Here is a 25,828-nt window from a genome sequence, read left to right on the forward strand (position 1 = left end):
CCCTTCTTCCCTGGACCTTAGGCGTAAAGCTAGAAGGTGGCCCTGCTCTGCTGTCCCTTTCTGGGCAAGACCTTCTTTCCAGGTTGCCCTTCCCTGCCTTGGGTGGCACCCAGACCAAGCAGTAACAATGACCCCACATGACTCTTAGGCCCAGAATCAGGCAGGGCTGGAGGGGAGCTCAGGGTCCCCTTATAGATGAGGCTCCAAGGAGGGGGCACCTGGCCAAAGTCCTACCACGAGTGCAGGGCAACACGGGGCCAGGGCCAGTGCAGGGTGAGTGCAGGGCCAGTTCTCCCACAGAGAACTCTGCCCCCGCCCCTCCCTACACCCAGAAGGGCCAGCTCAGAGACGCCAGGCCCCATCTGTCTCCCAAGCACCAGCAAGCAGGGCATAGTCTGGGGAGTGGGGACGTGGCCATCAGCAGGCACCAGAGGCACAATCCCCTTTGCCACAAATGCCCCTCACAGGCAGCGGCACTGCTGAAGAAGATGGCCCAGCCTGGCATGGAAAAGGTCCAGGGTGCTGAATCACCAAAACCTCCACCTCCCCAGGCGGGAAACGGAGGCACGTGGTGAGGGGCACTTGTCTGAGCACCACACTAGGGAACCCACTAGAATATGCTAGAGTGGGGGCATGGATAGGGTGCATGTGACATGCCATGGGCTTGGGGGCTCCGCTTCCCATCTGCACATTTACAACACTCAGGCAGCCCCGAGGGTTCCTCCTCCTGAAGCCCTTTCATGATAAACGCGTCCATTTTTAGAAAGAAGGCTCTTTAATGAGGCATTATTTCCAGATGCCAACTCATCACTGTCATACATGAGCCTCTCCCTGTCTGAGCCACCGGAGATGTGGACAACAGCAATGTGTCGGCGGGGGACCCCCAGCCAGCCACTCTGCTCTGCCGGCCGCCCCTTCCACCCTATGCCTGCCACTGTCCATCAAGGCCCCCCGGCCAGAGGAAAGCCCTACCTATAGCACACCCCAAATCCCACCAGGCGGCCTCAGGGCTGGGCACCACAGCCAAGCCCGCAGCCACGGGCGGCACTCCCGCGCTCACAGAGGGCCTCTGCCCTCCTACCGGGGACCTGCTTGCTCCTGGGGGTGACAGTGGGAGGGACACCCCAACAGAGCAATAGCCAAGGTCCCGGCCAGGCCCACCAGCCCCTCAAGGCCCATCCCACCATCCTGAGGTTCTGGACAGCCTCTGCAAGGAGACCTCCCTCTTCCTCCCAGATTCCTCCCTAGGCCTGCCAGAGGTCTCACACCACCATGGGGCATTAAAAGGATAAAATCTCAGGACAGAGATACAGGGTGCTGGCACATGATCCCAGGCAGCCCCTGCCTCGGGAGAATCCCGGGTTCAGAGCAAGGATGAGTCACCATGGCCTGTCCCTCCAAGACCTTCCCCAACATCCTTGCAGGGCAATTAACTGTCTACTAAAGCCCTCAGAGCCTCATGACCAAAAAATAGCTCAGTGCCTAAAGTTAATGGTCAGAGCTAAGTCTCATTTAAGGCCTCTGGGGGAGATTTTGTTTAGGAAGAAAAGAAAAACCAAGAACAGGGTACATGGATTTATTCTATCCCCCTATGGGATGGCCCAGAGAGCTCTAAGCCAAGGGTCTACCTCACAGGGAACAAAGACCTTCCAAGGCTCCCAGCCAGCCCTGTCCCTCACAGCCCCTCCGCAAGGTCAGTCACTCACCCGCTTCTGGGCCACACTGCCTTGCTCATTGTTCCCAACTGGGAAAGGTCATGGGCCTGGCGTGGGGGAGAGGCCTAAGCACCTGAGGGCAGCCACGCATCTCAGGAGGCAGGCCGGCCAAGCAGGGACCCTGGAGCAGAACCCCCGTACAGTCATGCGCCTGAGGACCCCTGTGCCCCCTTACTGCACGGGGGCTGACTCTACCTCTCCCGCAGTCTCATCCCCGGGCGCTGAGTAAGATGGTGCAGCAGGCAGGGGGCCATTCTAGCCTGGAGCCCCCACATCACAGCCAGCCACAGAAATGTCTGCCATACAAATAACAGAGCCACACTGCCCTCCTGGCCAGCTTCTGCATCCCTGTTCTCGTGGAGAACGTGGCAAGCTCCAGTCCAGTGCCCTCTGGTCTCCCCTCAGCCCTTCCAGCTCGCCTGTGCCTGCCAGCCCTCACTTGAATCCCCTTCCACACCCCCAGGCCTGCACAGGCCTCCTGGGCCGGATTCCCCACTGGGTCTGTCGTCCCCAGTTCCTCCAGCTGCCAATCAGCAGACCAACAAGGGGCAGGTCTGGGGAGACAAGCATCTCAGCCGAACACAACAGTCACCCTGGGACAGTCTTTCCCACTACAAAGGAATGCCGAGTCCAACCTGCTTGGGATGCAGCTGGCATGGTGGTACACCAGCACCTTTCTGAGTTAAACATTGGTGAGGACACCCATCCAGGGTGGCTTCAGCCAGGCCGGCCAGTCCTGTGCACAAACCACCTTCTCCTCACCCCAGGCCCCGCCGGGTGCTCCTAAGCCTGCTGTTTCCAGATGCCAATGCCAGTCAATGCCTGTATATTTACCCAGAGAAAAGAGAGCCCACGGACCCATCCAAAAGTCACCAGAGGCCTGATGTGGGAGTATGAAGGAGAGATCAAGGTTGTAATTCAAAAGAAAATGAGATTTTCTCATTTTTATTCTGCTCCTGCTGGCGATGGCGCTGGCCCGGGAGGCCTGAGGAAGCGAGCTGGGGAGAGGGAAGCCTGGCACAGGTGGTGGCAAAGGGTCCCCTGGCTGCCCTTTCTGGTCTGGGGTCAGGTCATTCCCCCACCCGTATAAGCACTTGGAAGGTGGTCCTGAAGTAAGAAACCAGGCCACTGCAGGTCTTCAAAGCCCCAAGCAGCAGGAATACCCAAAAAAGCCCCCAAAAGTACTGGTTCTACTAGATGGAGGGAAGAGGCCAAGCTAGGAGCAGCCTTGGGCAAGGCTGACAAAAAGGATGGCCTGAGCTCCTACAGCTTCCCCAAGTTCCTCCGGGGTCTCCGAGCACCATGGATGTGAACCAACTGCTTCACCTCATATGTGGGTAAACTGAGGCCTGGGGAGACTGGTCAGAGACTGAGGCAGAAAGAAAATAATCAGGAGGAAGAAGTCCAGGAAGCAGATGTTTTCATGAAAACATCGACCCAACCCTAAAGCCCTCATATAAACAAAAACAGCTTCAGGAAAGAGGCCCAAGCAGTGTCAACAGAGTAAGCCCTGAGGAGAGCAGGCAGGGGTGAGCACAGAGCCACGGCCCAGATCAACAGAGTGAGCCCTGAGGACAGCAGGCAGCGGGGAGCACACAGCCACGGCCGGGATCAACAGAGTGAGCCCTGAGGACAGCAGGCAGGGGGGAGCACACAGCCACGGCCCAGATCCGCCAGACAACAGACACAGCCAGGACGGCTGGGCGCCCAGGGTAACCAGCACCCGCAGAACGCTGTTGGATTTTACTCGACTCTATGCCTTTGTGTTCTGTGTGGAGCTTCCCAACCACGAACGTGCATTCAGTTGTGGAGCTTCCCGACCACGAACGTGCATTCGGTTGTGGAGCCTCCCGACCACGAACGTGCATTCAGTTGATCTATTTTTATTTTTTAAAGGCTTCAGGCAGGAGCCTCACCAACTCTCCTACCTGGATTCTTCATCTTTCCTGAGTCATGGACCACTTTGGGCTCTGATTAGAGCTGCGGTCCCTATTCCAGGAAAAATGCAGGACTGCACAGTCATTTTGGGGGTTCAGGGGTCCCAGTTAAGGAGTCTGTAGATGCACTGGCTGATGGGTTGCAGAGGCCACTGCCCATGTGACCACTGCAGAGAGGAGGACAGGCTGCTGAGAGGAAGCAGGGGCTGCTATGGGGCCATGGGCGGCCCTGAGCTGGCCCAGGTATCTGCCTTCTGTCATGATCCCCAAAATAAAGCAACAGCCAGGAGAATCCCGCCACTGCCTACACCCCTGCCTGCACCCAGGGGTTCCGAGAGCCCAAGTGACCCCCTCCACCGCAGCCACGCCCACGGCGCATTTGCTGCAGGCAGGAGGGCAGACCCCGGGGATGGCTGCTCTCCCTCTGCCTCCTTCCTGCTCAGAGGTTGGGTTGCACCAAACAAGAGGTCTTTTCATCCAGGGTTTCGCACAACATTTCAGCACCACACACTTCACAGCAGATCATGTTGCCCACACCAGACCAGCCCTCATGGGGGACAAGCTTTTAACTCGGTGGAGAGGGATTAGAGTCTCTGCAGATCAGAGCAGCCCTGGGCTGGGGACGCCAGCAAAAGGGTGGGGAGCATCCCAAGGCCTCCTGACCACTCCTGGGGTCCTCCAAACTCCTAGTCTTGGGGACTACCCTCCAGGGTGGGGGCACCAGCAGGAGGGCAGGCAGCATCCCGAGGGCCTCCTGACCATACTCCCTGCGCTGTTCCGTCCAACCTGTCAGCAGGAGGAATGTGACAGGGCAGAGCTGGAGCAGGCAGAGGCATTGGTGGCAGGCTCACCAGAAACCCTCAGCTGATGGGGACAGCTCAGCAAAAAAGGAGCGGCAGGAGAAGACTGGGAGGCCTGATGGGTTGTCGGGGGTACCGGGGGCCTCCAGGGCCATTGACAGCAGAGACCCCCTTGCCTGCCACAGCTCCCCCTACCATCAACACTGCCATTGCATTTCCAGAATAAGGCAGTTTGGAAAGGTCTCCTTTCTTCCTGGTGGTCTAGTGGCTTAAAAAAAGAAAAAAAGAAACCAGAAGGGGCTTTCACGTGACCTTCCCAACCAACAAGGTAGGGGAAGCCTCTGTTTATGGAGGAAGCAAGTGTCCCAGCCAAGTCCTAGCAGGGGACAGGTTGGGAGCTGGGCTGGGGTCAGTCTGACCCAGGTCCAGTCTCCCGGTGCACTCTGCTGCTGTAATCACACTGATGCCACCCTGATGCCCCCCAACCCCCAACCAACACACCAGAGGCTCGATGAGTCATGACAGGAAAGCACCACAAGGCTGCAGTGAGCAGGGGCCAAGCCCAGAGTCAGAGCCTCAGCTGCAGTGCTAATGGCCTTATCCGCCAGGGACGGCCAGAGTAATGGCCGGCAGCTGGACACGGCGGCTCATTTAACCCCAAGAGGCACCTGCCTGCCACAGCCGCTGCCAAGGGAAGACGGCAGCACAGAGGACAGGAGGGGAGGATGCTCAAAGCCCTAGTGACAAGGCCAGGGCAGTCTGCAGCCTCCCTGGGAGGGAGGGGGTGCCTCGCTGGCCGATGTCCAATCTGTCCCCACCCCACCGTTTAAAAGCCACGTTCTTTGTTTTCTGATCCTGAAGCCTTTGCGGCCTCATTTCGAGAACAAGGTGCTGGCGGCTGGGAACCAGTTGGCTGGGTTCTGCCGGGGAGACCCCTGGAGCTGTGCAGCCCTCTCTGGGCTTAGGTTTCCTGCCAAGACACGTGGACCCCCACATGCGCCCGCTCAAGGCTACCAGCCTCTTCTGTGTGGGCAGGCCTTGCACCTACAGCCGCAGGACATCCTCCAAGAGCCTGGCCTGGGGCTGCGGAGGCTGCCACGGCTCCCACGGCTCCCACGGATGCTGAGTGCGCGAGGGCTGCAGGTCCCACATCCTGTAGTCCAGCCAGCTGCAAAGGCTGCCCTGCACCTCAGAGGAAGGGCAGGATTTCAATCTGCGCAGGAGGCAGGACGGGGGGGCCACCTGAGGGCCTGCAATGTGCCTTCTGCACAGCAAGTGGTCCTGGGGCCACAACTCCAGGGCCAGGGTGGTAAAGCGCTGCAGCCGGTGGGGAGGGTGGGGAGGTGGCAGGAAGCCCCGACTCCATACTCAGGTGTCAGGTTTCTTGGTTTCTTTTCTTTTTTTTTTTTTTTTTGGAAATGGAGTCTCACTCTGTCACCCAGGCTGGAGTGCAGTGGCATGACCTCCGCTCACGGCAACCTCCACCTCCCAAGTTCAAGAGATTCTCCTGCCTCAGCCTCCCGAGTAACTGGGATTACAGGCATGTACCACCATGCCCAGCTAATTTTGTATTTTTAGTAGAGATGAGGTTTCACCATGTTGGCCAGGCTGGTCTCGAACTCCTGACCTCAGGTGATCAGCTTGCCTCAGCCTCCCAAAGTGCTGGAATGACAGGCGCGAGCCACCACACCCAGCCAGCTTTCAGGTTTCTTTCCGTGGACAAGTAGGAGTCACAAAGCCCAAGGAAGAATCGTCTAGACCAGGGCTTCCCAGCGGAATTCCCTTTATGATGGAATTTTCCCCATCTCGCTGTCAGCACGGTACTAGCCCATGCGAAGGCAGGGTGGTCGGTACAGCTGCATGTCATTTAATTGTAATGAAAGTGAATTGAAGCAGCTACATATGGCTAGTGGACACCACTCGGGGTTAGAGCCAGGAAACCTTGACTCTGAGGGGTCGTGGGTTAGGCAGGGGAGCAGGAGTGCAGGGGAGAGAGGAAGGGACCCAAACCCAGAAGACACAAGGTGAATAGCATAGTCACCAGCAGCAATCTGGACACCTGAGCCTCAAGGCCAGGAGCAAGAGGTAGGGAGAGACTGCTCAGCCCAGCCCAGGGCGATGTTTTCCCTCTGGGCAGGAGGGGCTGGAGAGAGTGCTGGAAGTTGCTCAAAGAGGTCCTAGGTGACCAGCACACCACCCCATTCTGGAAGACAATCCCAGGGGGAAATCAGATGCCACCAGGAAGTTGAGATGAGAAGAGGCTGCTGGACAGAGCCAGAGCCACCATTCTCAGGGTTTGGGATTGCCCAGGGCCAAGGAGCAAACATGGGGAAGGAGGTGGCCTCAGCCTCTAGGGTTTATCCTCTGGCAAAGGGAGGAAGGCCAAGGGGCAGAGCAGTAGACAGGAGGGGCTCTGTGTTGCTTTGGACCAGGAAACGTGAGCCTGTTTGTGGGGAAGGAGCCAGAGGACAGACCCAAAAGGAACAAGAGAAAGGAGACAATGGCGGAAGCGGAGGGAGGTCCCCCAGGAGGGGCTGGGCAAAGGCGAGGGGGAGAAGAGGGGAGCCTTCCCCTGCCAGCCAGGACAGAAGGTGCCGAAAGAGGGAGAAACTAGCTTCTTAATTTTCTGGAGAAAGGGTGGCTGGGTGGGGGGAGCGTCCCATTGTTCCACCAGCCGCTGAGGGATATTAAGCAGCCGGGAAACAGAGCCTTGGCATGGGCAGTGTGGCCGGAACCCGCCACAAAGGGCCACTCCCAGAGCGGGCTCATTAGGGAGCCGGGCCGGTGCCGTGCGCGGTGACAGGCGGGCGCATTCAGGGCCCCACACAATCGGGCCCTTGTGGCGGGCGGGGGAGCACCGCGCTCAAAGGAGCCTCTGATTCCTAGACAAGAGCGGGCCTCCTTCTTGCCTTACAACCTGGGAGCCAACGGAAAGACAGATTTGGGAAGACAAAGAGATGCTTCCCCTGACAGTGGATGGTCTATTTTTGGAAATGGGTCGACTCTTCTCCATAGCTGCCGTTTCGGTGCCACCGGCCCTGCCTGCCTCTGTCCCCTTCAAAACAGCCTAGAAAGGCCTCTGCCTCACCTGTCCAGCCCTGCGAAAGTGGGGTGGCGGAGGCAGCCACCTCCATGGGGATGCCTGGCAGCTGATTCGAGCTCCTGGGGCAGGGAGGTAGGGGTGCAAGCCAGGGTGCATCCAGGGCCCAAAATGGCATTCCACAGCCTCGCCAAAGCCATCTCTCCGGCGTCTGTGCAGCACAGGTCAGCGAGGGGGCAACACAGGCAGGGCCGTTTACTCCTCACTGCTAACGTGAACTGACACCAGTCTCCCAACCCTGGCCAGCCAGGCTCTGTGGTGCCCAGTGTGGGCGCATCCTCGCCCCTAGCTGGCCTGCTGGAAGGGCCCATGGCTGTTCTCCGGGATCCTGGCTCTGGCCACCCAGCAGAACCTCCAGAGCCTTCACAGCCTCCAATGACACCAGGACCAACTGCACCCATCTCTGGGGCTGGGCACGGGCACTGGTATTTTTTAAAGTTTTCTAAGTGATAGCTAATATACAGCCACAATTAGGAACCACTGGTGAAAGCCAAAAGGTATATATTTTAGTAATTATTCAGGGGAAATGGGGAAGGTGGGGTTGTGTAAATCACCACCCTCTTGGGGAGGTTTGATTTTGCTGGGGGTGGGGGCGGGGGGCGGGGAGTAACTTATTTAACTCGGTGCCAAGTGTACAAATGAGAAAAGAAGGACAGGTGGGCAAAGTGGGTCAACCACTATCTGGCACCTGGTCAGTCCTTCCGGGACTGTTCACTCCTCCCTCCAACACTGACTATGCATTGCAACAACATTCTGGACTGGGAGAGAGACAGGACAGCAAGCAGAGGAACCTCGAGTCCAGGAACATGCAGCCTTGTCCCCAGCAAACCTGCACCAGGAATTGAAGCTCAGTGTTCTCCTCTTGCACTAAACCCCTTACTGAGTCCTTTAAGCAGAGGCAATCAGATAGGGGAGGCAGGTACTTCCACTGGGGCCCTGCAGGAGGGGAGGCTGGTCTGGGCCAGGGTCTCAGCCTCAAACAGCGTTTAGACAGGTCACCATCTCTAGGCCCCACAGTGGGACCCATGTGGTCACAGGTAGCCTCACCATCCCCACACCTGCCCCAAGGCAAGGACCAACCACGAGGCAGGTGATAAAACCCAGGCTGTAGGGCATAGGAAGAGAATTCCCAGGAATATAAAAGAGCTGGCTCATAGGACCACTGAGTGACCGATAGGAGGCAGGATGGGCAGGGGAGGCCACCCCTTCCTTGTGGCTCTGAGTCAAAGGGCCAGAAGAGATGAGGGTCCCTGGGACTCTCAGCTCAGCCCATCCAAGCTTCCTATTTTACAGATGGGAAAATGAGGGCCCAGGGAGAGGCACAGACTTACACATGGTTGGGTCTCAAGTGGGCTGAAGCCACTGGTTCTGTCTGGATCGTCCAATCCACAGAACACTAGTAATCTTCCAAGACCCCCAGGCAGGGAGCATGTCAGCTGACAAGGCCACTCAGGCCCAGCAGGTGATGTGTCTGCATATTTATCAGGTGGGGAGCAGGGGAAAGATGGGGATAAGCTGTAAAAAGTTTCCAGTTTCTAATAGGACTTCTAACAGGTAACTCTGGGTCCTCTTGGAAAGTCCATCAGAAAAGGTTAGAGCTAGAACTGCCCACACCCCGAAGGAAAGCCCAACCTAGGGACTTCAGGGACAGTAGAAGAGGCTTCAAAGACCCCACCGGCCCTGGCCTTGCTCACTGCCCCAGTGCTTGTCCTGGGTCCCCACTCATCCATCACCCCAGCTGAACCCAAGGTGCAGGCAAATGCCCACCGCATGACTTTGCTCGGCTCTTCTTTTTGTTTTGGTTTCGTTTGGTTTTGGTTTTGGTTTGTTTTGTTTTGAGATGAGTCTTGCTCTGTGGCCCAGGCTGGAGTGCAGTGGCGCGATGGCTCACTGCAACCTCTGCCTCCTGGGTTCAAGAGATTCTCCTGCCTACCAAATAGCTGGCATTACAGGCGCGTGCCACCACACCTGGTTAATTTTTGTATTTTTAGTAGAGATGGGGTTTCACTATGTTGGCTAGGCTGGTCTTGAACTCCTGACCTCAGGTGATCCGCCCAGCTCAGCTGTTCTTTCTGCGAAGCCTGGTCTCTCTTCTTACCTGCTCTCTTCTGCTTTTACTAACTCCATCTTCAAGGCCCATCTCAGTTCCCAATTCGGCCACCCCTCCTCTGAGCTCCCAGCACACCTGAAGAGGTTAAGAGCCCAACCTGGGCATTTCCTTGAGGGAAAGGGGCATGATGAATAATCACACCCACAGGGCAAGGGAACCGGGACATACCGGCTGGCACAGGCTCCGGGTTCAACTGGACGGGAGTCCCTGACCTGGCCCAGCCCCACCCTGCCCCTGCTGTAACTTGCCTCACCATCCTGGGCCTGTTCCTTAGATGAAACAGGGACCCCAATGGGGACCAGCAACTGTTGTGGGAGGCGAGTGAGAGAAAACCCAGTTGCTGTCAGCACAGTGCCAGGCACACGTTTGTTCCATCCAAAAGACTTTCAGAACCTGCCACTCTGTGCCAAGGCTGGGAGTCAAGAGGACCAGAGTCCCAGGCTCATAAACTCCCAGATGAAGAGACAGTAATGACAGAGGGCCCCAGGTGGGCAGGGAGGGCTCCAGCACCCATGTGGCTGGCCCTGGGGTGGGCCCCTGTCTTTCTCAAGTCTCTTAGTGCCTTAGGACTCTGTGAAGTTTGCTCAGGGGTTTCCGGCTCTCCCGGGCCTGGCATTTGTTCCACTCTCAGATACCATCAGCCGCAGACACAGTCTACTCAAGGGCTTTTCCAGGGGCAGAGAGGGGAAGACCTGCCAGCAAATGTCCACATGGGTTCTAAGACACGCCCCATATTACAACTGGGAAGGGAAAATGCCCAGCTTTGAACTGAGGAAATGGCAGAATGTCTCTGCCGTTGAGGAATCAGGAAGAAGGAAAGGGAATCAGACCCTCGCTTCCTCCCCAGGGCCATCTACTGTAGTTAAACATGCTCCACGCCTCTGTTTGAACAGTACACATAAGGCAAACCCAAGAACACTTACAGGCAGTCAATACAATCCTGATCTTTCTGCTCTGCTCCCCTCAAGAGCTGGAGGTCAGCGGTGACCTGCTGAAGAACAGGCACCCATCCCCGGCTGACCCGGCTCCAGGCCTGCCCAGAACCCTCTGCCTGTGAGGACAGGGGATGTATGAGTGTCCAATCCTGGGTGCTTGCCTAGGGGAGGGGGACCATTTCTGACATGTTATGATCAAAGAAGCATCAAGTCCCTTTAGCAGACAAGTTTGTTCCTCTATCCCCAAGCCTTTGGGGATGCCAATAGAGTCTCTTGTTGTTATGTAGCAGGGAGATGAGAATTCTGAACCCCAGAGTGGTCCCTGCCTAGATCCCAGACGCTGATCCCAACCACCCTAGATGTAGGGATGGGAGTAGCGGGGAGCAGCATCAGCGCTGGGGATGGAGGGCACAGCAGCCACCTGGGAGCGGCAGCATCTCCCACAGGCGCTGTCCTGCCTGAGCCCCACCCAAGAGCTCAGGACGCCTGCCCTAGAGGACAGAGGTCATGAGAAGGCAGATAGCAGCTGAGAGCAGGACTTTGGAGCAGACTCACCAGGTCTGGAACCTACAGAAGGCTCTCTCCTGTGGCCACTCTCCTGGCCAGAACCTCCTCCCGATGGAAGCCCTCAGCTTCCACCCACTGCTCCCCCAGCCCAGCCCACACCACAGTGGTCACCAGAGTGATGCTCCAGAACCACCACCCCCCAAGCCAGACTCCAAGAATCACTGCTCAGGAGGCACTCAGACCTCAGAGGCAGTAAATGCTCAGTGAAGTCCGCAGACGCTTCCCTTCCTCCTGAAGAGCAAATTACCACCTGTGAGGTCAAGTCCCGCTTCCCACCTGGCTCTGGGTTCAACCAGATTGGATTGAACACACACATTCAAAGCTGGGCATTTTCCCTTCCCAGTTGTAATGTGGGGCGTGTCTTAGAACCCACATCTCAACCAGATTCCCAGAGCTGTCTGGGGTGTCCACAAGCCCCATCCTCAGTGGATTCAGGAATGCCCCTTCTCAGTGTCCACGCAACCTCCCCTGACACAGCGCTCCCCAGCCCTGGAGGCAACACAGGCCACCTGGGCCACTCTTGCTTGTGGGCACTGAAGTCTGAAAAGCTGGGACTTTGGGGTCTGCCCTGTGGGGCTGCCCACAGCACTAACCCCCCTAAGAGTTATCTCCCCACACACATCCTGGGTCCACCTTGCAGGCCCCGGATTCTCAATGCCATGCTCCAGACCCCACTTCCAAACCTTAGCCATTCTTATTCCTGCCTGGAATGCTGGCTCCCTCCATTCAACTAGATGAGGACTCAGCTGCCTCCGACCCTACACTGGGTACCAGCGTGTGTCAGGGGATCTCCCACTCCCACCCAGGGAAGGCAAATCCGCAGAGGCCAGGAAATAATGAAAGGACATGGAACCCATCCTTTAAGGCCCAGTTCTAGGATCGAGACATTATTAGCCTCAGGATATAGATGAAGAAACTGAGGCTTAGAGGTTCAGTAAGCTGCCACGGCCATAAAGCAGGTGGCAAAGCCAAGATTCACCCAGGGCTCTCTGACCCTGGAGGCAGATCACTAACCAGAGGGCTACATGCCCCTCGGCATGCGGGGTGCCGAGCGCTGCAGCGGGAGATGGGGCCTTCGCACATCAGGGGCTGCCACCCGCCAGAGGCTACACGTATCACTCACTACACACCCTCCTCCCTCAACCCAAAGGTTAGTAACATTTTCCCACTTGGCAAAAGAGAAAACAGAGGCCCATGGAGGCTCAGGAACTTGCTTAACAGACTTCCAATTCTCTGCGCAAATGAAGGCAACAAGCATGGATTGGAAAATCCCCACCGGCGGAAAACAGATTAGGAGCAACCACTGATTTCCTTCTGTATCACGTGCTGGTCCTGGGAACTCAGAGGCCAGGCCTGAGCAAGAGGTCTGGTGGGGCGACTGCTGCGGTGGCAAGCCAGCCTCGTGCAGAGAAGTGAGGGAAGGAGAAACCAAGAGATGGGGAGCCACAGCCATCGTAGGGAAGGTGGCCCACCCTGCACCGCCTTCCCCCACTCCTCCATGCCAGGACACAGGGAGACAGGAATGAGGCCCCGGGCCTGGCATCCTGGGAGGAGGTGCCCTGTCTCTGTGGCAGAGGTCACCGCTCCCCTGGAACTCTCTGGGCAGCAGGCACAGGGCCATGGGCTCAGAATTCTGACACAGGAGACCCAAGACGCATCCCAGGCCCCCCAATCAGCCCCACAGGACCTAGAGCAAGTCACCGCACCACCACTCCAAGCCCTGATTTCCCCATCTAAGATATGGAGATGCTAAGGTCTCCCTCCTGGGACCATTTGGAAGCTCTGAACAGAATGGAATTGGGACTGGGATGCTGTTTGTGGCAAACTGTGAAGCACTGGGCACAGTTTACCCACCCCTGGGTCACCTGCCTGGGAGCCTCTCAAGGCCAGCCCTCCTTTCTGAGGCCCAGCATCCCAAGGCCATTGATGGATCCCTTGGGACAGGCTGGGGAAGGAGGGGGAAAGGCTTATCTAACCCACCCCATTGTCTTCACTGACCTTTGTTCCTGAGCTTGGCTGGGTTTAGGAAAAGCAGCCTTATTAGCCGAGCTGCTGCACAGAAAAGACCTATTCAGAGTTAGCGTGCTCTGTCTTTTTCTAAAGGCCCAGACCACCCCGTTCCATCCTCCCTCTTAAACCAACAAAAACACAAGCAGGAGAACAAACCTGTCTCATTTTGAGAAGCTCAAAATTTTAATCCGAACTTTAAAAAGTAAATGGGGCTCATGCACAGGCTTGCTAGAATCCTAGTTCCTCCAGGTTGGCTAAAGGGGAGTGGACCGTGGAGGAGCAGGTTATCAGGGGAGGGAAGGAAATGCCTGGCAATGGGCAGGAGGGGGGCATGGTGCCTGTCGTGGGGCACAGGAGACAGGCGGAGGGGCAGCTGGAAAAAGAACTGAAAATTCTTTTGTTTGAAAATCCTATCAGTTCATGAAGGAGAACCTGACTTTCTGGTGTTGGGGTTTACCTGTCTCAGTGTGCCACACTGGACTAGAGCAACGCACAGCCCAGTCCCAAGTCCAGTCAGCCCAGACCAGACCTCTACCAAAGGCAGCCAAGGCCAGGTGCAGTGGCTCACGTCTGTAATCCCAACACTTTGGGAGGCCAAGGCAGGAGGACTGCTTGAACCCAGGTGTTCGAGACCAGCCTGGGCAACATAGTGAGATCCAGTCTCTACAAAAAATTCAAAAATTATCTGGGCATGGTAGCACACATCCCAGGAGGCCGAGGCAAGAGGATTACTTGAGCCCAGGAGGTTGAGGTTGCCGCGAGCCATGATGGTGCCATTGCACTCTAGCCTGGGTGACCAGAGAGACCCTGTCTCTAAATAAATAATAAATAAATAAATAAGCAGCCAAGGAGAAAAGCCTATTTGCATGTACATACACAATACACAGGCCCACCAGGCCAGCCTCAGCCAGGGCTGCCTTGCATACAGATGGGCCACCTCCCACCTCAGCCACTAGAGTCTGCCCAGGGCACCCAGCAGGGCTGCAACTGCCACCAGCTCCCCAGAAAGGACAGCAGGGCCACTGTCCTCACTAGCTCATCAGCAAGTGCTGCCACACAAGAGGCTCAGATGCAAACATTCAGGTGAGCTGTCTAAGCAGCAAGCACTTTTGAAGAGGAAACTGAGGTCTGTTGGGAGAGCCCCAAGGACCCTAACAACAGGAGAAACCTACTGTGTGTAGATCCTGACCTCACTCAACCTTGTGTGAATAATGGGGCACTCTGGGTTCTGTCCATCTTACAGAAGAGGAGCACAGAGAGGCTTGGCCAGTTAATAACTTGCCCAGTATACATGGAGGAGCTGAGATTCAAACTCAAGTCACCCTGAGCCTCTGGGTAACGGGGTTATCAGCCATCTGCTCAATGGTCACTGATAAGGAAGTGACACTTCCCAGCATGGGAGAAAGAGGGCAAACCTGGGTCAGGAATCAAGAATAGGGAGTCACCAGTGTCCCCTGATTAACAGTAACAGCAAACATGACAACAGACCAAGGGCACAACAGATTCAGACCCAAGGCCTGAACACGAGATGATCATGGCAGCAAACCCACCCAGGACAGGTACTTCCAATGTCAGCCACCTTCCCAGACAAGGCTAGGAACCCCTCTAAGCCTCCACTTGCTTGTCTGTCAAATGGGGATAATACTGCTTCCCCAGGGTTCCTGTGAGAAGAAGCAAAGACCAAACACATAAGGCGCAAGCCTGGTGTCTGACCCCACTTTAGACACCACCCAGACAGAGACTCATTATCTCCCTCAGCTCAGGCCCAATCTTTGCTCAATTTAAAGTTACAAGTCCCAGAATAGAAAAGCCCAGTTTCACCAGGTGAGGTGGCTCATGGCTCTAATCACAGCTACTTGGGAGGCTGAGCTGGGAGGATCACTTAAGCCTGGGAGGTTGAGGCTGTAGTGAGCCATGAGTGTTCCATTGCACTCTAGCCTGGGTGACAGAGTGACACCCTGTCTCGAAAAAAGGGAAAAAAGAAAGAAAGAACAGCTCAGTTTCTAAGAGAAGGGCCTTTCCTGGTTTCCAAGCCTTCCATTTACATTAGTGGGACCACATCCCAAGGCCACACATGGCTTTAAGAGACAAAACTAAATAATAATAATTCCATCTGTAACCGAAATTTGTAATAATAATGCTGAATTTTCATTTCACCCCAAAGCAAGGTTTGCTGCCACAACATTTGCAGCAGTCCTGTGCTAAGTGGGCTTGGGGGAGGATGGGTTCTGTGGGAAACCCTATACTTCAACCTCCCACTGACCCCCAGTGGGGTGGAAAACTCAGTGTAGCCTAGTCCTCCACTCCTGTATTATTCACTGTCGCAGCTGACATGCTGAGCCAGACTGGGGCCGCATCTCCTTGCCCAAAACTCGACAGAGCCTTTCCTGCAAGTATGCTCTAAACACTCCAGCCCTCCAGTGTCCTGCAGAGAGGCACTCTTGCCAAGTGTCATTGATGACGCAGCTGAAAACCAGAAACATTTCACTTTCCAGCCACGAGACTGCAGCAATCTGCTCTTTGGACTGCACTTAGGGAAACCGAGGCCCAGATAACTGACCCCTCAAAAGCCCCCAGGACGGCAAAATCAAAGGGGCTGAGGTGCTCTGAACAGCCCCAGCAAATTAAACCACCTAACTTTGCGCTACTCCCACTGCCCTGAAGCAGCCTGTGGTGGGAGGTGGGGGTGGATACAGTGTTACAAAGAGAAACCTGAGTTGTAGCCATAGATTGCTAATCAGTAACAAAATATCCCTCTAAACCCAGTCCTGCCTTGAACCCACAGGCTCAGGATGGTAAATAAAGGAAAAACATGCTGCACTGCCCCTGCCCCACCTCCATGGGTATGTCTCCCACCCCAGCCCCCACCCCAACACGTCTGCAGAGGCCACTTGGCCACCAAACTAAGGAGAAAACGTCCCTCCCCAGCTCAGGCTGAGGGGTTCTGGGGAGGGCAGTTATTGCAGGCTTAGACACACTTTCTCTGAATTAGGAAAGGCTTTAAAGGGAACCAGAAAGAGCTGTTCATTCTCCACCTTCAGGCAAAAAGTTCAGGCAGTTGCAACTACCAGCAGAACTGGAAGCCAAGCTACCAAAAAACGTGGAAGAACAGGGAGGCCCCGGATCCACCAGCGAGGAGGAGAAAGCTGGCAGGGAGCAGAAGGGCTGAGCAGGGGGCTGGGAGAGGGAGCAGGCTGCAAGCTCCCACAGCCCCAAGCTGGGGCCACCCTCTGCACTGGGCGCAGCAGTAACATGGGCGTAGAAGACAGAAGCTGACAGAGGCCAAAGTTCCTCCCACCCACACCCTGGTCACGGATGACCACGGCACTTCCTGTAAGGCGATCAACAGTTTATAAATCCCTTCAGAAGGTTTATCTCCACCTCAAACCCACGAGGCAGAGGTCATCATCTCCATTTCACAGACAAAGAAACTGAGGCACACAGAGGAGAAAAGCTAGAATCCGTTCCAAATACATCTCCCTCGGGAAAGTCTTAGAGTCTCGGCTGAGAAAGGTCCCAGGACTAGAAGGGCGGAATTTATGGCAAACAAGAAAGGCTCTGAGCCCCAGGCCTCTCCCCAACTGCCTCTGGGTCTCAAGCGGCTGCCTGTGCACCTTCCCAATCCCCACACCCCACTGCAGAACTCCAGCCACCGCACACACGTGGACGCTGCTTGGTTTGGAGGACACCTGTTGCTGCAAGAGGGGAAATTCACTTGCGCTCAAGGGGCCTTGTATCCTTTGCTGTTTAGAACTTCCCGCTACTAGGCAAGGATTTCCAAGGCTGGGATGAGGCGCCCACCGCCAGCCCAGCAGTGACAGACCCTAATTTTGGCAACTACACCCGCTAGAAACTTTTCTGGGACCGGACCGGCAGCAGGTTCTGAGCTGGACAAAAAGACGCTCCACCACTGAACCGGCCCACCACCGCCCAAAGCCCCACTTTGGGTGAGTGCGGGATCCCCTGGCCCAGGATCCATGACAGCTGGAGGAGTCTGGAGTGGCGGCCGCATGAGTGGGACAGCCAGGGACCACCTCCTCTCGCCGCAGCCTGGGAAAAGGGCTGCAGCCAGGGAGACCCGCGCTGCCCGGCCCGTGTAGTCCTTACCGTGCAGGCCGTTGGGGATGCTGCGGTGGTGCGGCGGCGCCGACAAGTCGTCCAGGGACCGACGTGTGGCTCCTGCCTTGCCGTCGGGGGCCTTGTGCGGCCCGGGGGGCAGCAGCGGGGGTGGGACGTGGTGGTGGTGGTCGGGGCTGCCGCCGCTGCCCGCGCTGGACGTACTGCTGCCGTCGCCCACGTCGCGGGCCCCCGCGCCGGGCGCGCCACCCGACAGCGGCCCGCTCAGGCTGGCCTGGCTGTCGATGGAGCTGCGGGAGCCGGCGCCGCCCCCGCCGCCGCCGCCACCGCTTGCGGCCCCCGTCGCCGCCAGTGCCGCGCGCTCCTCGTCCAGCAGCAGCACCAGCTCCTTGAGCTCCAGGTTCTCGCGCAGCAGGGCCTCCTGGCGCGCCTCGAGCTCGCGCAGCTTCTGCTGCGAGCGGGCCACCTCGTGCCACACGGCGCCGGCCGCGTGGCGCCCGAAGCGCTGCCACTCGCGCGCCAGCTTGCGCCCCTTCTGCCGGTCGTCGTCGAGGAAGCAGCAGAGCTCGCGCAGCTCCTGGTTGTCGTCCTGCAGCCGCTGGTTCACGTCCTTGAGGCCGCGGATCTCCAGCAGGTGCTGCTGCAGCCGCCGGTTCACGTCGCGCATCAGGCCGCCGTGCTCCAGCATGAGGCCCACCTTCTCGCCCTCGGCGCGCCGCAGCCGCCGCGCCAGCTCCTCCTTGCTCCAGCGCAGCAGCTCCTCGTCCGGCACCTGGCTCAGCTCCTCCGACGCCGCCGCCGCCGTCGCCGCGGGCTTAGCCATGGCGGGGCCGTCACCGCGGCATCGCCCTCGCCCTCGCCCGGCCGGCGCTTCCCCGCGCCGGGGCTCCGCTGGGCCGGTCCGCGCGCGGGCGGGGGGCGGCCGGGGGCGCGTGCGGCCCGCCCCGCGCCGCCTGGCGCGTCCTCTCGCCGCGCCCGCCGGGGCCGCCCGGGAGCCCGCGCGCCTCGGGGTTGACGAGCGGAGGCGGCTGCTGCGTCGGCGGCCGCGGTGCCGGGCGCTCTCAGGGTTCTGGAGAAGCAGGCGGAGGCCCGCCCCCGGCCCAGCTCCCGGAGCCCCCGCCGCCCCGCCCACCCCGGGCGGAGAGTGGGCGGGTCTCCGAGGCCCGGCCCCGCCCCCGAGGGCGACTGGGGAGCAGAGGCGCGGCCCCCGCCGTCCCCCTGCGCGGTGCGCCCGCCCGTCCAGTGCCCTCTCAGAGGCGCGTTCCGGCCGCGGTCCCGCCCTCCCGGCCGGGCGATTGGGCCGCTCCGGGGGTGTGCGGGAGGGGCGGGGCGCGCGCGGGGGAAGCTGCGGCGGTGGTACGGTCCATCCGCGGGGTTTCCGACCCCCGCCCGCGGCCGGCTCCCGGCGGTTCAAGTTTCTGCGCCCGGAGGACGCGGCCTTAGCCAATCCCAGGGCTACAGGGCGCTTTTAAAATGCAGGTACGGCTGCGGGGAGGGGGACGGTGGGAAAGGTAGGGCCGGGCTTCCCTTAAAGGCGACGCGCGAAAATAGCAGTCGAGCCCCCTCCCCGGCCCGCGTCCCCGGTCCTCTTCCCTCTCCCCAGATAAACAAATACCCACGATCCGGGCGACGGCGCCCCTTCTCCCTCCCGGGGGCACCAGAGTTCAGGGCAGTCGGAGACACAGCGAACAATAGGACTGTGACATGGGGGTCGCTCTTCCCCGCAGCAGGGCGGCTCTTTGTCCCCTTCCCTGCCCCCAGGCTCCTCCGCCCCCGTCCCCACCCGGGTCCCCTGCCGGAGCACGCGGCGGGGCTGCGTCTCCACTCCTAGCCCAGGGCTGAGCTAAACGCTGGCGTCCGCGCCCCTGCAGGGCCAGGGCCTTGCCAGCCGCGTCCCGCAGCGCGGTCAGTACTCTCTGCCCCGATGGGGCGAGAGCTCCGGGAACCTGCCCCCTGCCCGGAGCGGCGCTCGGAGCCCCGCTCCACCTCCGCTCACTCGACCGCTAAATCCCTGGGATTCGGGAGATAATCTGCAATTCGCGGGGTGGAAACCACTGGGAAGGGTGGGAAGGTCTCCCACTGGGGCCTGAACGCCGGGGTCCGGGGGCGCCGAGCCGGCCACAGAACTCCCCACCGGCGGCCTCGCGGGACCCCCGGGCTTCCCACTGCCTGTAAGTCTGTCTCGTTATCCTCCGGTCCCCAAAGCGCATTTACGGCGCGTCTACCGCCAGCAGGCGGGGCGGGGCGGGGCGGGGGGGGGTCCCTCCCCCGGAACCTGCAACGAGATCAAATCCGCGCACGCGACAGTGAGCGGCCCACGGCCTGGAGCGCGCGCCCGCGCAGCAGCTGATGCCCCATTTACAGTTGCTAAGCCGTTCATTCAGCTGTGTACTCAGCGCCTACTCGCCGCGGGGCCTGCTCCAGCCCCGGGGGATTCTGCAGGGCACCGAACTGCCCTCTGCGGGGGACTTGGCGTCCTGGGAGCAGGATGGGGAGAAGATAGACGAGCTAGATCAGGATGAGACTTGTCTTAAGTGCTGTGCGGGGCATTAAGTCGAGCTGCTGTCATAGAAAGCATAATCAGTTGCTTTAGATCCAGCGGTCAGGGAGGTGGGGAGGCACATCTAAGCTGAAGTCTGATTGGCAAGGTACAAAGATAAGGGGAAGGGCATTCCAGGCAGCAGGAACAGCCAGTGCCAAGGCCCTAGGGCTGGCCTGTTACAGACCTGTTCCAAGAAGGCCAGTGGGGCTGGGGGTGGGCCAGGGAAGAGGCGTGAGAGCTGAGGTCAGAGGTCAGAGGGGCCAGATCATGTATGATTCCAAGACAGCTGGGGAGGCAGTGGGGTTTTAGCAGGGAAGCAACATGACCTGGTTTACCTTTTTAAGAGGCTCACCCTGGCCCACATGTTGAGAAGAGATGGAGGGGAGTACACAGAGAGGTCCAGATTCAATATCTCATCTCCCACCCGTTCGCCACTCTCTCCAGACAGATGGTCAGGGGAGGGTGGTGGGGAGAGGATGGGCTGAGCACAGCTTCCAAGGTTAAACCCCAGGGATGCTGAGGGTCTCCCAGGCCCTGCCCAAGAGAACCAGCTCCTGAGGGGAGGGGACATCCTCCCCTCTGAGGCACTGCTCTGCTGGTCCAGCACAGCTCAGTTTGGGTTTAGAGAGGGAGGGGCTTTCAGCTTCTGCCTGGGGGAGCTGCAGGTCTGTCTCAACCCCCAGGAAGCCATATTAACTTCAAGGAGCTCCTTGCAGGCTCCCTGCAGAATGAAGCCTGTGCACAGAGTTGCTCCCTGGAGATCGAAGCGTAAACGTTGGATACACCATAGGAAAAACCCACCAGCTCACCAGGGAAGTTGCTGAGACAGCACTGTGCTTTGTGAGAACCCCCTCCCCGTTCGTGCATGGCTCCTGGTGGTTCCTGGGGCCTGTTATCTCTGCCCCCTGATCCTCCAGAGCTGGCAGCTTCCGCTGAACTTCCAAGAAGAAAGTGAAGCCTCTATCTAGGTGGGGTTTGTTTGCGTCATCTACAGGCTGTGTGGACCAAGGACCAAGAGTTCCTCTGTGGAGTCTTGATAGCTTTGCTCACATCCTCAGGGTAGAACAAAGACAAGGTGCTAGTGGTGGTGGTACTGGGTGGTTTGAGGGAGGGTCTCTCTGCTCCCCACACCAGGGCTGGGAATGCTTGGGCAGAACAGGACAGGACCAGAGGAGGTGAGAGGGCCCAGGGCTGAAACAGCGTCCTGAAGGAAAAGGGACTCCCCAGGCCAGAGCCCCCTCCCGGAGGGCCCATATCGCAGGGTCCAGCAGTAGGTGCCATGCCCCCTGGAGTACTCACAGCCCAACAGAACCAGGATCCCAAAATGTCAACGTGACTTTGCCTTTTTTTTTTTTTTTTTTTTTTTTTTGGCTAAGACAGGGTCTCACTCTGTCTCCCAGGCTGGAGTGCAGTGGCATGATCTTGGCTCAGTGCAGCCTCAACCTCCGGGCTCAAGAGATCCTCCCACCTCAGCCTCCTGAGTAGCTGGGACCACAGGCACCACCATGCCTGGCTATTTTCTTTTCTTTTCTTTTTTCCCCCATAGAGACAGAGTCTCACTGTGTTTCCCAGGCTGGTCTCAAACTCCTGTGCTCAAGCAATCCAATTCTCCTGCCTCAGTGACTTTGCTTCTTAAGCCCCTTGGTCATGACAACTCTGCTTTGTTATGAAAACAGTGAAACCAAATCATGGTGCACTAACAGTCATACTGTAGGTGCCCAGGGAAAGTAGCTGTGAGTCTTTTCAAAATAAAGGTGCCCCACCAACATTCTACCCCCCTTTTTTTAAAGACTCTCCCAGGATGTGTGTGTTCATTTAGAGCCACACACATTTGTGAGAGCCAGCAGGGGCTGAGAACCGGTACGCTAACACACGGTAGATGCTAATACATGGTAGACAAAATACTCCAAAACCTAGGGCCTGTGGGGGGAGTACTGGTACAAGCTGGTGACAAGCAGAGTGTGCCCCTCACTTTCAGGGGGAATGGACTTTCTTACTCTTCTCTATGGTTGGGGCTGTGAGCTCCAACCCCAGAGGCAGTACCATTTGGTGTTTGCTGAGTGAATGTCAAACCTCTCAGTACGTGACAGATTGAGTCTGAGGCTTCATTTTGAAGGTGAGGAAAAACAGAGCCCCAGAAGGGAGATGCCTGGCCCAAGGTCACTTTCATTCATTAGCTCACTGAACATAGAGGAAATCTATGAGTATATATGCATTTATACACAAACACATTTAAATGGGAATATATATATACACATTGCAATGCATTGTGGTAAGTACTGCAAATGAGAATGGGCAGAACACATCATTGTGGGAGCATGCTCAGGCACTGGGAGTGGCTTCCTAGAGGAGGTGAATCTTGAAGGAGTTTGTCGTCTTGTGGAGTGGGGAGGAGGCTCCAGGTGGAGGAAGCAGTACAAGCAAAGGCCCAGAGGTGAGCAGGCGAGGGGTGTGGAGAGACACTATTACACCTTGCAGCTGGGGTATACAGAAGGGAACAGCAGGGTGGGGAAAGTCGGGAAGAGGTTGAGCGATGGAGCTGGGCAGAGGAGGGCTTTGTAAGCCTCAGAAGGAAGCTGGACCCTTTCCCTGGGAGCTCTGATATCTAATAATAATGGCAATGACAATGACAATAACCAACACCACCTGCCGCTTATCCTAGACTCAGTATATGCCAATGATTCTAACCTGTCCTCTTTTGAGGGTTATAATAAACCTATGAGGAGGTGTCATTAGCCCTTCGAGGATTGAACATGGGTTCTTATTGGCTGGTTGTTTGCCTCCAAGAAGCTCAGCTCATTGGGCGTGAACTTACAGGCAGTGTTCAGAGGCTTGTGGACACCCAAGGACTCTGGTATGGCCAACAAAGTGTTTGGTGGTAGCTGAATCTTCTTCAGGACAGTGAGGCAATGGTGGCTGACCAGGTCTGGGCCAGACTATGAGGTATCATCCTGAAAGGCTACCAGCAGCAAGAAGTCAGGGTCCACTGAAAAGTGGTTAAGTGTTACTAATATGGACAATGTTGACTGGGCACTTTCTAGGTACCCAGCACTGTGCTAGAGTTCCACATAGATTGTCTCACTGACTCCTCACTGATGCGGTAAGAACCCTCTGTTCCCATTTTACAGAGTAAGAAACTGAGGCTCACACAGGTTAAGTCACTTGCCCAAGGTCACATGGCTAGCAAGTGGCTGAACCAGGATTTGAACCCAGGACCATCTGAGCTCCAGAGTGTATCTGACCCCATAGACTACTGTCTCCCACACCTCAGTTTCCCTTCTCAAGAAGGAGGAATGGGGTGGATGCTCTGCGATGTCTCTTCTGCTGTGACTCTGGTTCTGTGATGCTGAGTGTCTGCAAGGTGCCTGGACCCATGTTCACCACCCACTTCCTCCTGCTTCAGGCTTTTCCATGTTGTGACCAAGCCTCAGTGGCTCTGACGCCTCTGGATGGCACCTGTGGTCAGAGCTCTCCAGCTATTTCTACTGATAGAACACTGCATGTCATTAGCTCAGTCTCCCTGCAACTCTATCACTGTCTGGGTGGGTGACCCTAGACCAGTCCCTTGTCCTCTCAGAGCCCCAGTATTCTCATCCAAGCCCTCCCTGACAGAGCTAGTGTTAAGCACTTGGCAGAGCTCTTGCAAAGCTCTGGGGAGGGGAGCCACGCTTCCTTTCCCATCCTCTGCACCAGGACTATCTTCCCATGAGGATATTTCTACCCATTTTCCAGAGGCAAACACTGAGGTCCAGTGAAACAAGGATTGTCCAGGAAACCCCATGCTTGCCCCTGGCAGACTGGGCTACAAAGGATTCTGGGTATGGCCCTGGGCTGCCACCTTCTTCCTTTTGGGGTGGGGCCAGCCCAGAATATGGGGATCCTCAAGAACACAGAGTTCCGAGGTCATGTGTCTCAACTCCCACATTTATAGGTGGGGAAACCGCATGAAGCTGGGACTGCCAGTTTCCCTACATGCTGGACCGCCAGGGGCAGCAGTGAGAGGGCTAGGGGAGGATGGGTTCCTTCATCCCCACTGTTAACCATCGTGCCAGGCACCTTTCTGGAGCTCAGGAAGTCCGCACTGCACAGGACGGCTGCCTAGAACCGCTGATGTTGCAAGGCAAGGGTGCAGCTGAAGCCCAAAGGGCCTCACATGTTGACAAAAAGCCTCAAGTATAACCTGATGGCAGTGGGGAGCCACAGAAAGGCTTAGAGCAGAGGAGAGATCTGGCCAGACTTGTGTGTGATTAGAAAGCACTCAACAGGAGGTTTGAGGGGAGATCACTGAGACTAGCAGACAGTGAGAAGGCTTTGAGGCCAGGCAGGCCAGAGCCAGAGCCAAGTGTGATGGAAATAAAGAGATTGATGGGGGCTGTCAGCATCTGACCCCTCCCTTTCCATGACTTCCCAGCCAGAGCCATGGAAATTCTCCGCCTGCCCCTTTAGCTGCTGACATCTCCTCACACCATCGCCTGATGGAACAAGACAAGAGGGAGGCTCAACATACTGGGGAAACTGAGTCAGGGGAGTTCTTTGCAGAGCTGGCTATTGCCTCAATGCACTTAATATTATTCTTATGGTGAACTGGTTCATATTACAAAGAACACTGAGAAGCATATGCCTGGGAGCCCACCACCCAGACTAAAGTATTACCACTTCTGCTTTTGATGCTCCTGCAGCCCCTCCTGGTCACAGGTCCCAGCCTTCCCCGACCCAAGGGTATCTGGGAATCTCAGTGTTGTGTTGGTTATTCCTGTGCTTTCAGCTTACCATATTTCTCCCTTATAAGATAGTGTTTAGACCAGGCACGGTGGCTCACACCTGTAATCCCAGCACTTTGGGAGGCCAAGGCAGGTGGATCACTTGAGGCCCGGAGTTCGAGACCAGCCTGGCTAACATGACAAAACCCCCATCTCCAGTGAAAATACAAAAATTAGCCAGGTGTGGTGGCAGGTGCCTGTAATCCTAGCTATTCAGGAGGCTGAGGCAGGAGAATCGCTTGAACCCGGGAGGCAGAGGTTGCAGTGAGCAGAGATCATGCCACTGCACTCTAGCCTAGACAACAGAGCAAGACTCCACCTCAAAAAAAAATAGTGTTTGATTTTGCATGCTTTTGAACTCTTTCATGGCATGGTCCTTCATGTGTTCATTTGCAGCGTGCTTCTGCCCTCATTATGTTGGTACATGTAGCTGTAGTTCATTCATTTTCATAGCCATATAGCAAGGTTACTCAACCTCAGCGTGGTTGTGAGGGGCTACTGTGTGCATTGTAGGACATTCACCAGCAACCCTGGCCTCCACCCATTTGACGGAAGTAGTACCCCTGTCCCCCACTTTAAAAACTAAAAATATTTTCATACATTGCCGAATTGCCCTTGGCTAAGAACTACTGCTATCTTAGATCCATTGCATGCATATATTACCTTTACTTTTCTCCTGTTGAAGACATTTGTTTCTAGTTTTGTTTGTTTGTTCATTTGAGACTCTGTCACCCAGGCCAGAGTGCAATGGTTCAGTCATGGCTGACTGCAGCCTTAACCTCCCAGACTCACTCAAGTGATCCTCCTGCCTCAGCCTCCTGAGTAGCTTGGACTACAGGCTCTCACCACCTGTAATTTTTTTTTTTTTTTTTTGAGATGGAGTCTCACTCTGTCACCCAGGCTGGAGTGCAATAGCACTATCTCGGCTCACTGCAACCTCCACCTCCTGGGTTCAAGTGATTCCCCTGCCTCAGCCTTCTGAGTAGCTGAGATTACAGGCATCCACCACCACGCCCAGGTAATTTTTAGTAAAGACAGGGTTTCACCATGTTGGTCAGGCTGGTCTCGAACTCCTGACCTCAGGTGATCCACCCACCTTGGCCTCCCAAAATCCTGGGATTAAAAATGTGAGCCACCGTGCCTGGCCTTTTTTTTTTTTTTTTTTTTTAAAGAAAGATTGGTTCTCACTATGTTGCCCAGGCTGATCTTGAACTTCTGGCCTCAAGTGATCCTCCTGCCTCAGCCTCCTAAAGTGTTGGGATTTCAGGTGGGAGC

At 56.8% G+C, this 25,828-nt stretch overlaps 2 protein-coding genes across 7 annotated transcripts in view, besides 13 other annotated features; one reads left to right on the top strand and one right to left on the bottom strand.

Annotated features, from left to right (window-relative positions):
• CCDC85C (coiled-coil domain containing 85C) overlaps positions 1 to 18,322 on the bottom strand; it is a 104,018-nt gene extending 85,696 nt beyond the window's left edge. For all 4 annotated transcript variants that reach the window (NM_001144995.2, XM_047431328.1, XM_011536706.3 and 1 more), the window contains exon 1: positions 17,282 to 18,322. In NM_001144995.2, coding sequence (NP_001138467.1) covers positions 17,282 to 18,074 — 793 coding nt within the window. In that variant the 5' untranslated portion in view covers positions 18,075 to 18,322. The remainder of the gene's footprint in view (positions 1 to 17,281) is intronic.
• Positions 2,557 to 3,152: an enhancer, noted in NCBI's record as "H3K4me1 hESC enhancer chr14:100054779-100055374 (GRCh37/hg19 assembly coordinates)". NCBI's record gives its function as "activates a minimal SCP1, AML or CMV promoter by ChIP-STARR-seq in naive H9 embryonic stem cells {active_cell/tissue: H9 hESC(naive)}" and the evidence as "EXISTENCE:reporter gene assay evidence [ECO:0000049][PMID:30033119]".
• Positions 2,557 to 3,196: a biological region, named in NCBI's record as "H3K4me1 hESC enhancer GRCh37_chr14:100054779-100055374".
• Positions 2,994 to 3,196: a silencer, noted in NCBI's record as "fragment chr14:100055216-100055418 (GRCh37/hg19 assembly coordinates)". NCBI's record gives its function as "represses an EF-1alpha promoter that drives an FKBP-Casp9 reporter gene in an ReSE screen in HepG2 liver carcinoma cells and K562 erythroleukemia cells {active_cell/tissue: HepG2 | K562}" and the evidence as "EXISTENCE:reporter gene assay evidence [ECO:0000049][PMID:32094911]".
• Positions 4,942 to 5,538: an enhancer, noted in NCBI's record as "H3K27ac-H3K4me1 hESC enhancer chr14:100057164-100057760 (GRCh37/hg19 assembly coordinates)". NCBI's record gives its function as "activates a minimal SCP1, AML or CMV promoter by ChIP-STARR-seq in primed H9 embryonic stem cells {active_cell/tissue: H9 hESC(primed)}" and the evidence as "EXISTENCE:reporter gene assay evidence [ECO:0000049][PMID:30033119]".
• Positions 12,103 to 12,985: an enhancer, noted in NCBI's record as "H3K4me1 hESC enhancer chr14:100064325-100065207 (GRCh37/hg19 assembly coordinates)". NCBI's record gives its function as "activates a minimal SCP1, AML or CMV promoter by ChIP-STARR-seq in naive H9 embryonic stem cells {active_cell/tissue: H9 hESC(naive)}" and the evidence as "EXISTENCE:reporter gene assay evidence [ECO:0000049][PMID:30033119]".
• Positions 12,333 to 12,533: a silencer, noted in NCBI's record as "peak2248 fragment used in MPRA reporter construct". NCBI's record gives its function as "represses an SCP1 promoter by STARR-seq MPRAs in K562 erythroleukemia cells {active_cell/tissue: K562}" and the evidence as "EXISTENCE:reporter gene assay evidence [ECO:0000049][PMID:32103011]".
• Positions 16,517 to 17,170: an enhancer, noted in NCBI's record as "H3K4me1 hESC enhancer chr14:100068739-100069392 (GRCh37/hg19 assembly coordinates)". NCBI's record gives its function as "activates a minimal SCP1, AML or CMV promoter by ChIP-STARR-seq in naive H9 embryonic stem cells {active_cell/tissue: H9 hESC(naive)}" and the evidence as "EXISTENCE:reporter gene assay evidence [ECO:0000049][PMID:30033119]".
• Positions 17,877 to 17,996: an enhancer, noted in NCBI's record as "active region_9004". NCBI's record gives its function as "activates an Ori minimal core promoter by ATAC-STARR-seq in GM12878 lymphoblastoid cells {active_cell/tissue: GM12878}" and the evidence as "EXISTENCE:reporter gene assay evidence [ECO:0000049][PMID:35858748]".
• Positions 18,257 to 18,786: a silencer, noted in NCBI's record as "silent region_6064". NCBI's record gives its function as "represses an Ori minimal core promoter by ATAC-STARR-seq in GM12878 lymphoblastoid cells {active_cell/tissue: GM12878}" and the evidence as "EXISTENCE:reporter gene assay evidence [ECO:0000049][PMID:35858748]".
• The window catches only part of HHIPL1 (HHIP like 1), a 76,032-nt gene continuing 68,856 nt past the window's right edge, over positions 18,653 to 25,828 (top strand). For all 3 annotated transcript variants that reach the window (XM_011537236.3, XM_006720277.4, NM_001329411.2), the window contains exon 1: positions 18,653 to 18,730. The gene's annotated coding sequence lies outside the window, so the exon portion shown is untranslated. The remainder of the gene's footprint in view (positions 18,731 to 25,828) is intronic.
• Positions 18,927 to 19,066: a silencer, noted in NCBI's record as "silent region_6065". NCBI's record gives its function as "represses an Ori minimal core promoter by ATAC-STARR-seq in GM12878 lymphoblastoid cells {active_cell/tissue: GM12878}" and the evidence as "EXISTENCE:reporter gene assay evidence [ECO:0000049][PMID:35858748]".
• Positions 19,127 to 19,196: a silencer, noted in NCBI's record as "silent region_6066". NCBI's record gives its function as "represses an Ori minimal core promoter by ATAC-STARR-seq in GM12878 lymphoblastoid cells {active_cell/tissue: GM12878}" and the evidence as "EXISTENCE:reporter gene assay evidence [ECO:0000049][PMID:35858748]".
• Positions 19,377 to 19,526: a silencer, noted in NCBI's record as "silent region_6067". NCBI's record gives its function as "represses an Ori minimal core promoter by ATAC-STARR-seq in GM12878 lymphoblastoid cells {active_cell/tissue: GM12878}" and the evidence as "EXISTENCE:reporter gene assay evidence [ECO:0000049][PMID:35858748]".
• Positions 20,587 to 20,881: an enhancer, noted in NCBI's record as "tiled region #4550; K562 Activating DNase matched - State 5:Enh". NCBI's record gives its function as "activates a minimal TATA promoter and a strong SV40 promoter by Sharpr-MPRA in K562 cells {active_cell/tissue: K562}" and the evidence as "EXISTENCE:reporter gene assay evidence [ECO:0000049][PMID:27701403]".

The sequence above is a fragment of the Homo sapiens genome, chromosome 14 (assembly GCF_000001405.40).
Source record: "Homo sapiens chromosome 14, GRCh38.p14 Primary Assembly".
In the NCBI taxonomy this organism is placed as follows: Eukaryota; Metazoa; Chordata; class Mammalia; order Primates; family Hominidae; genus Homo; species Homo sapiens.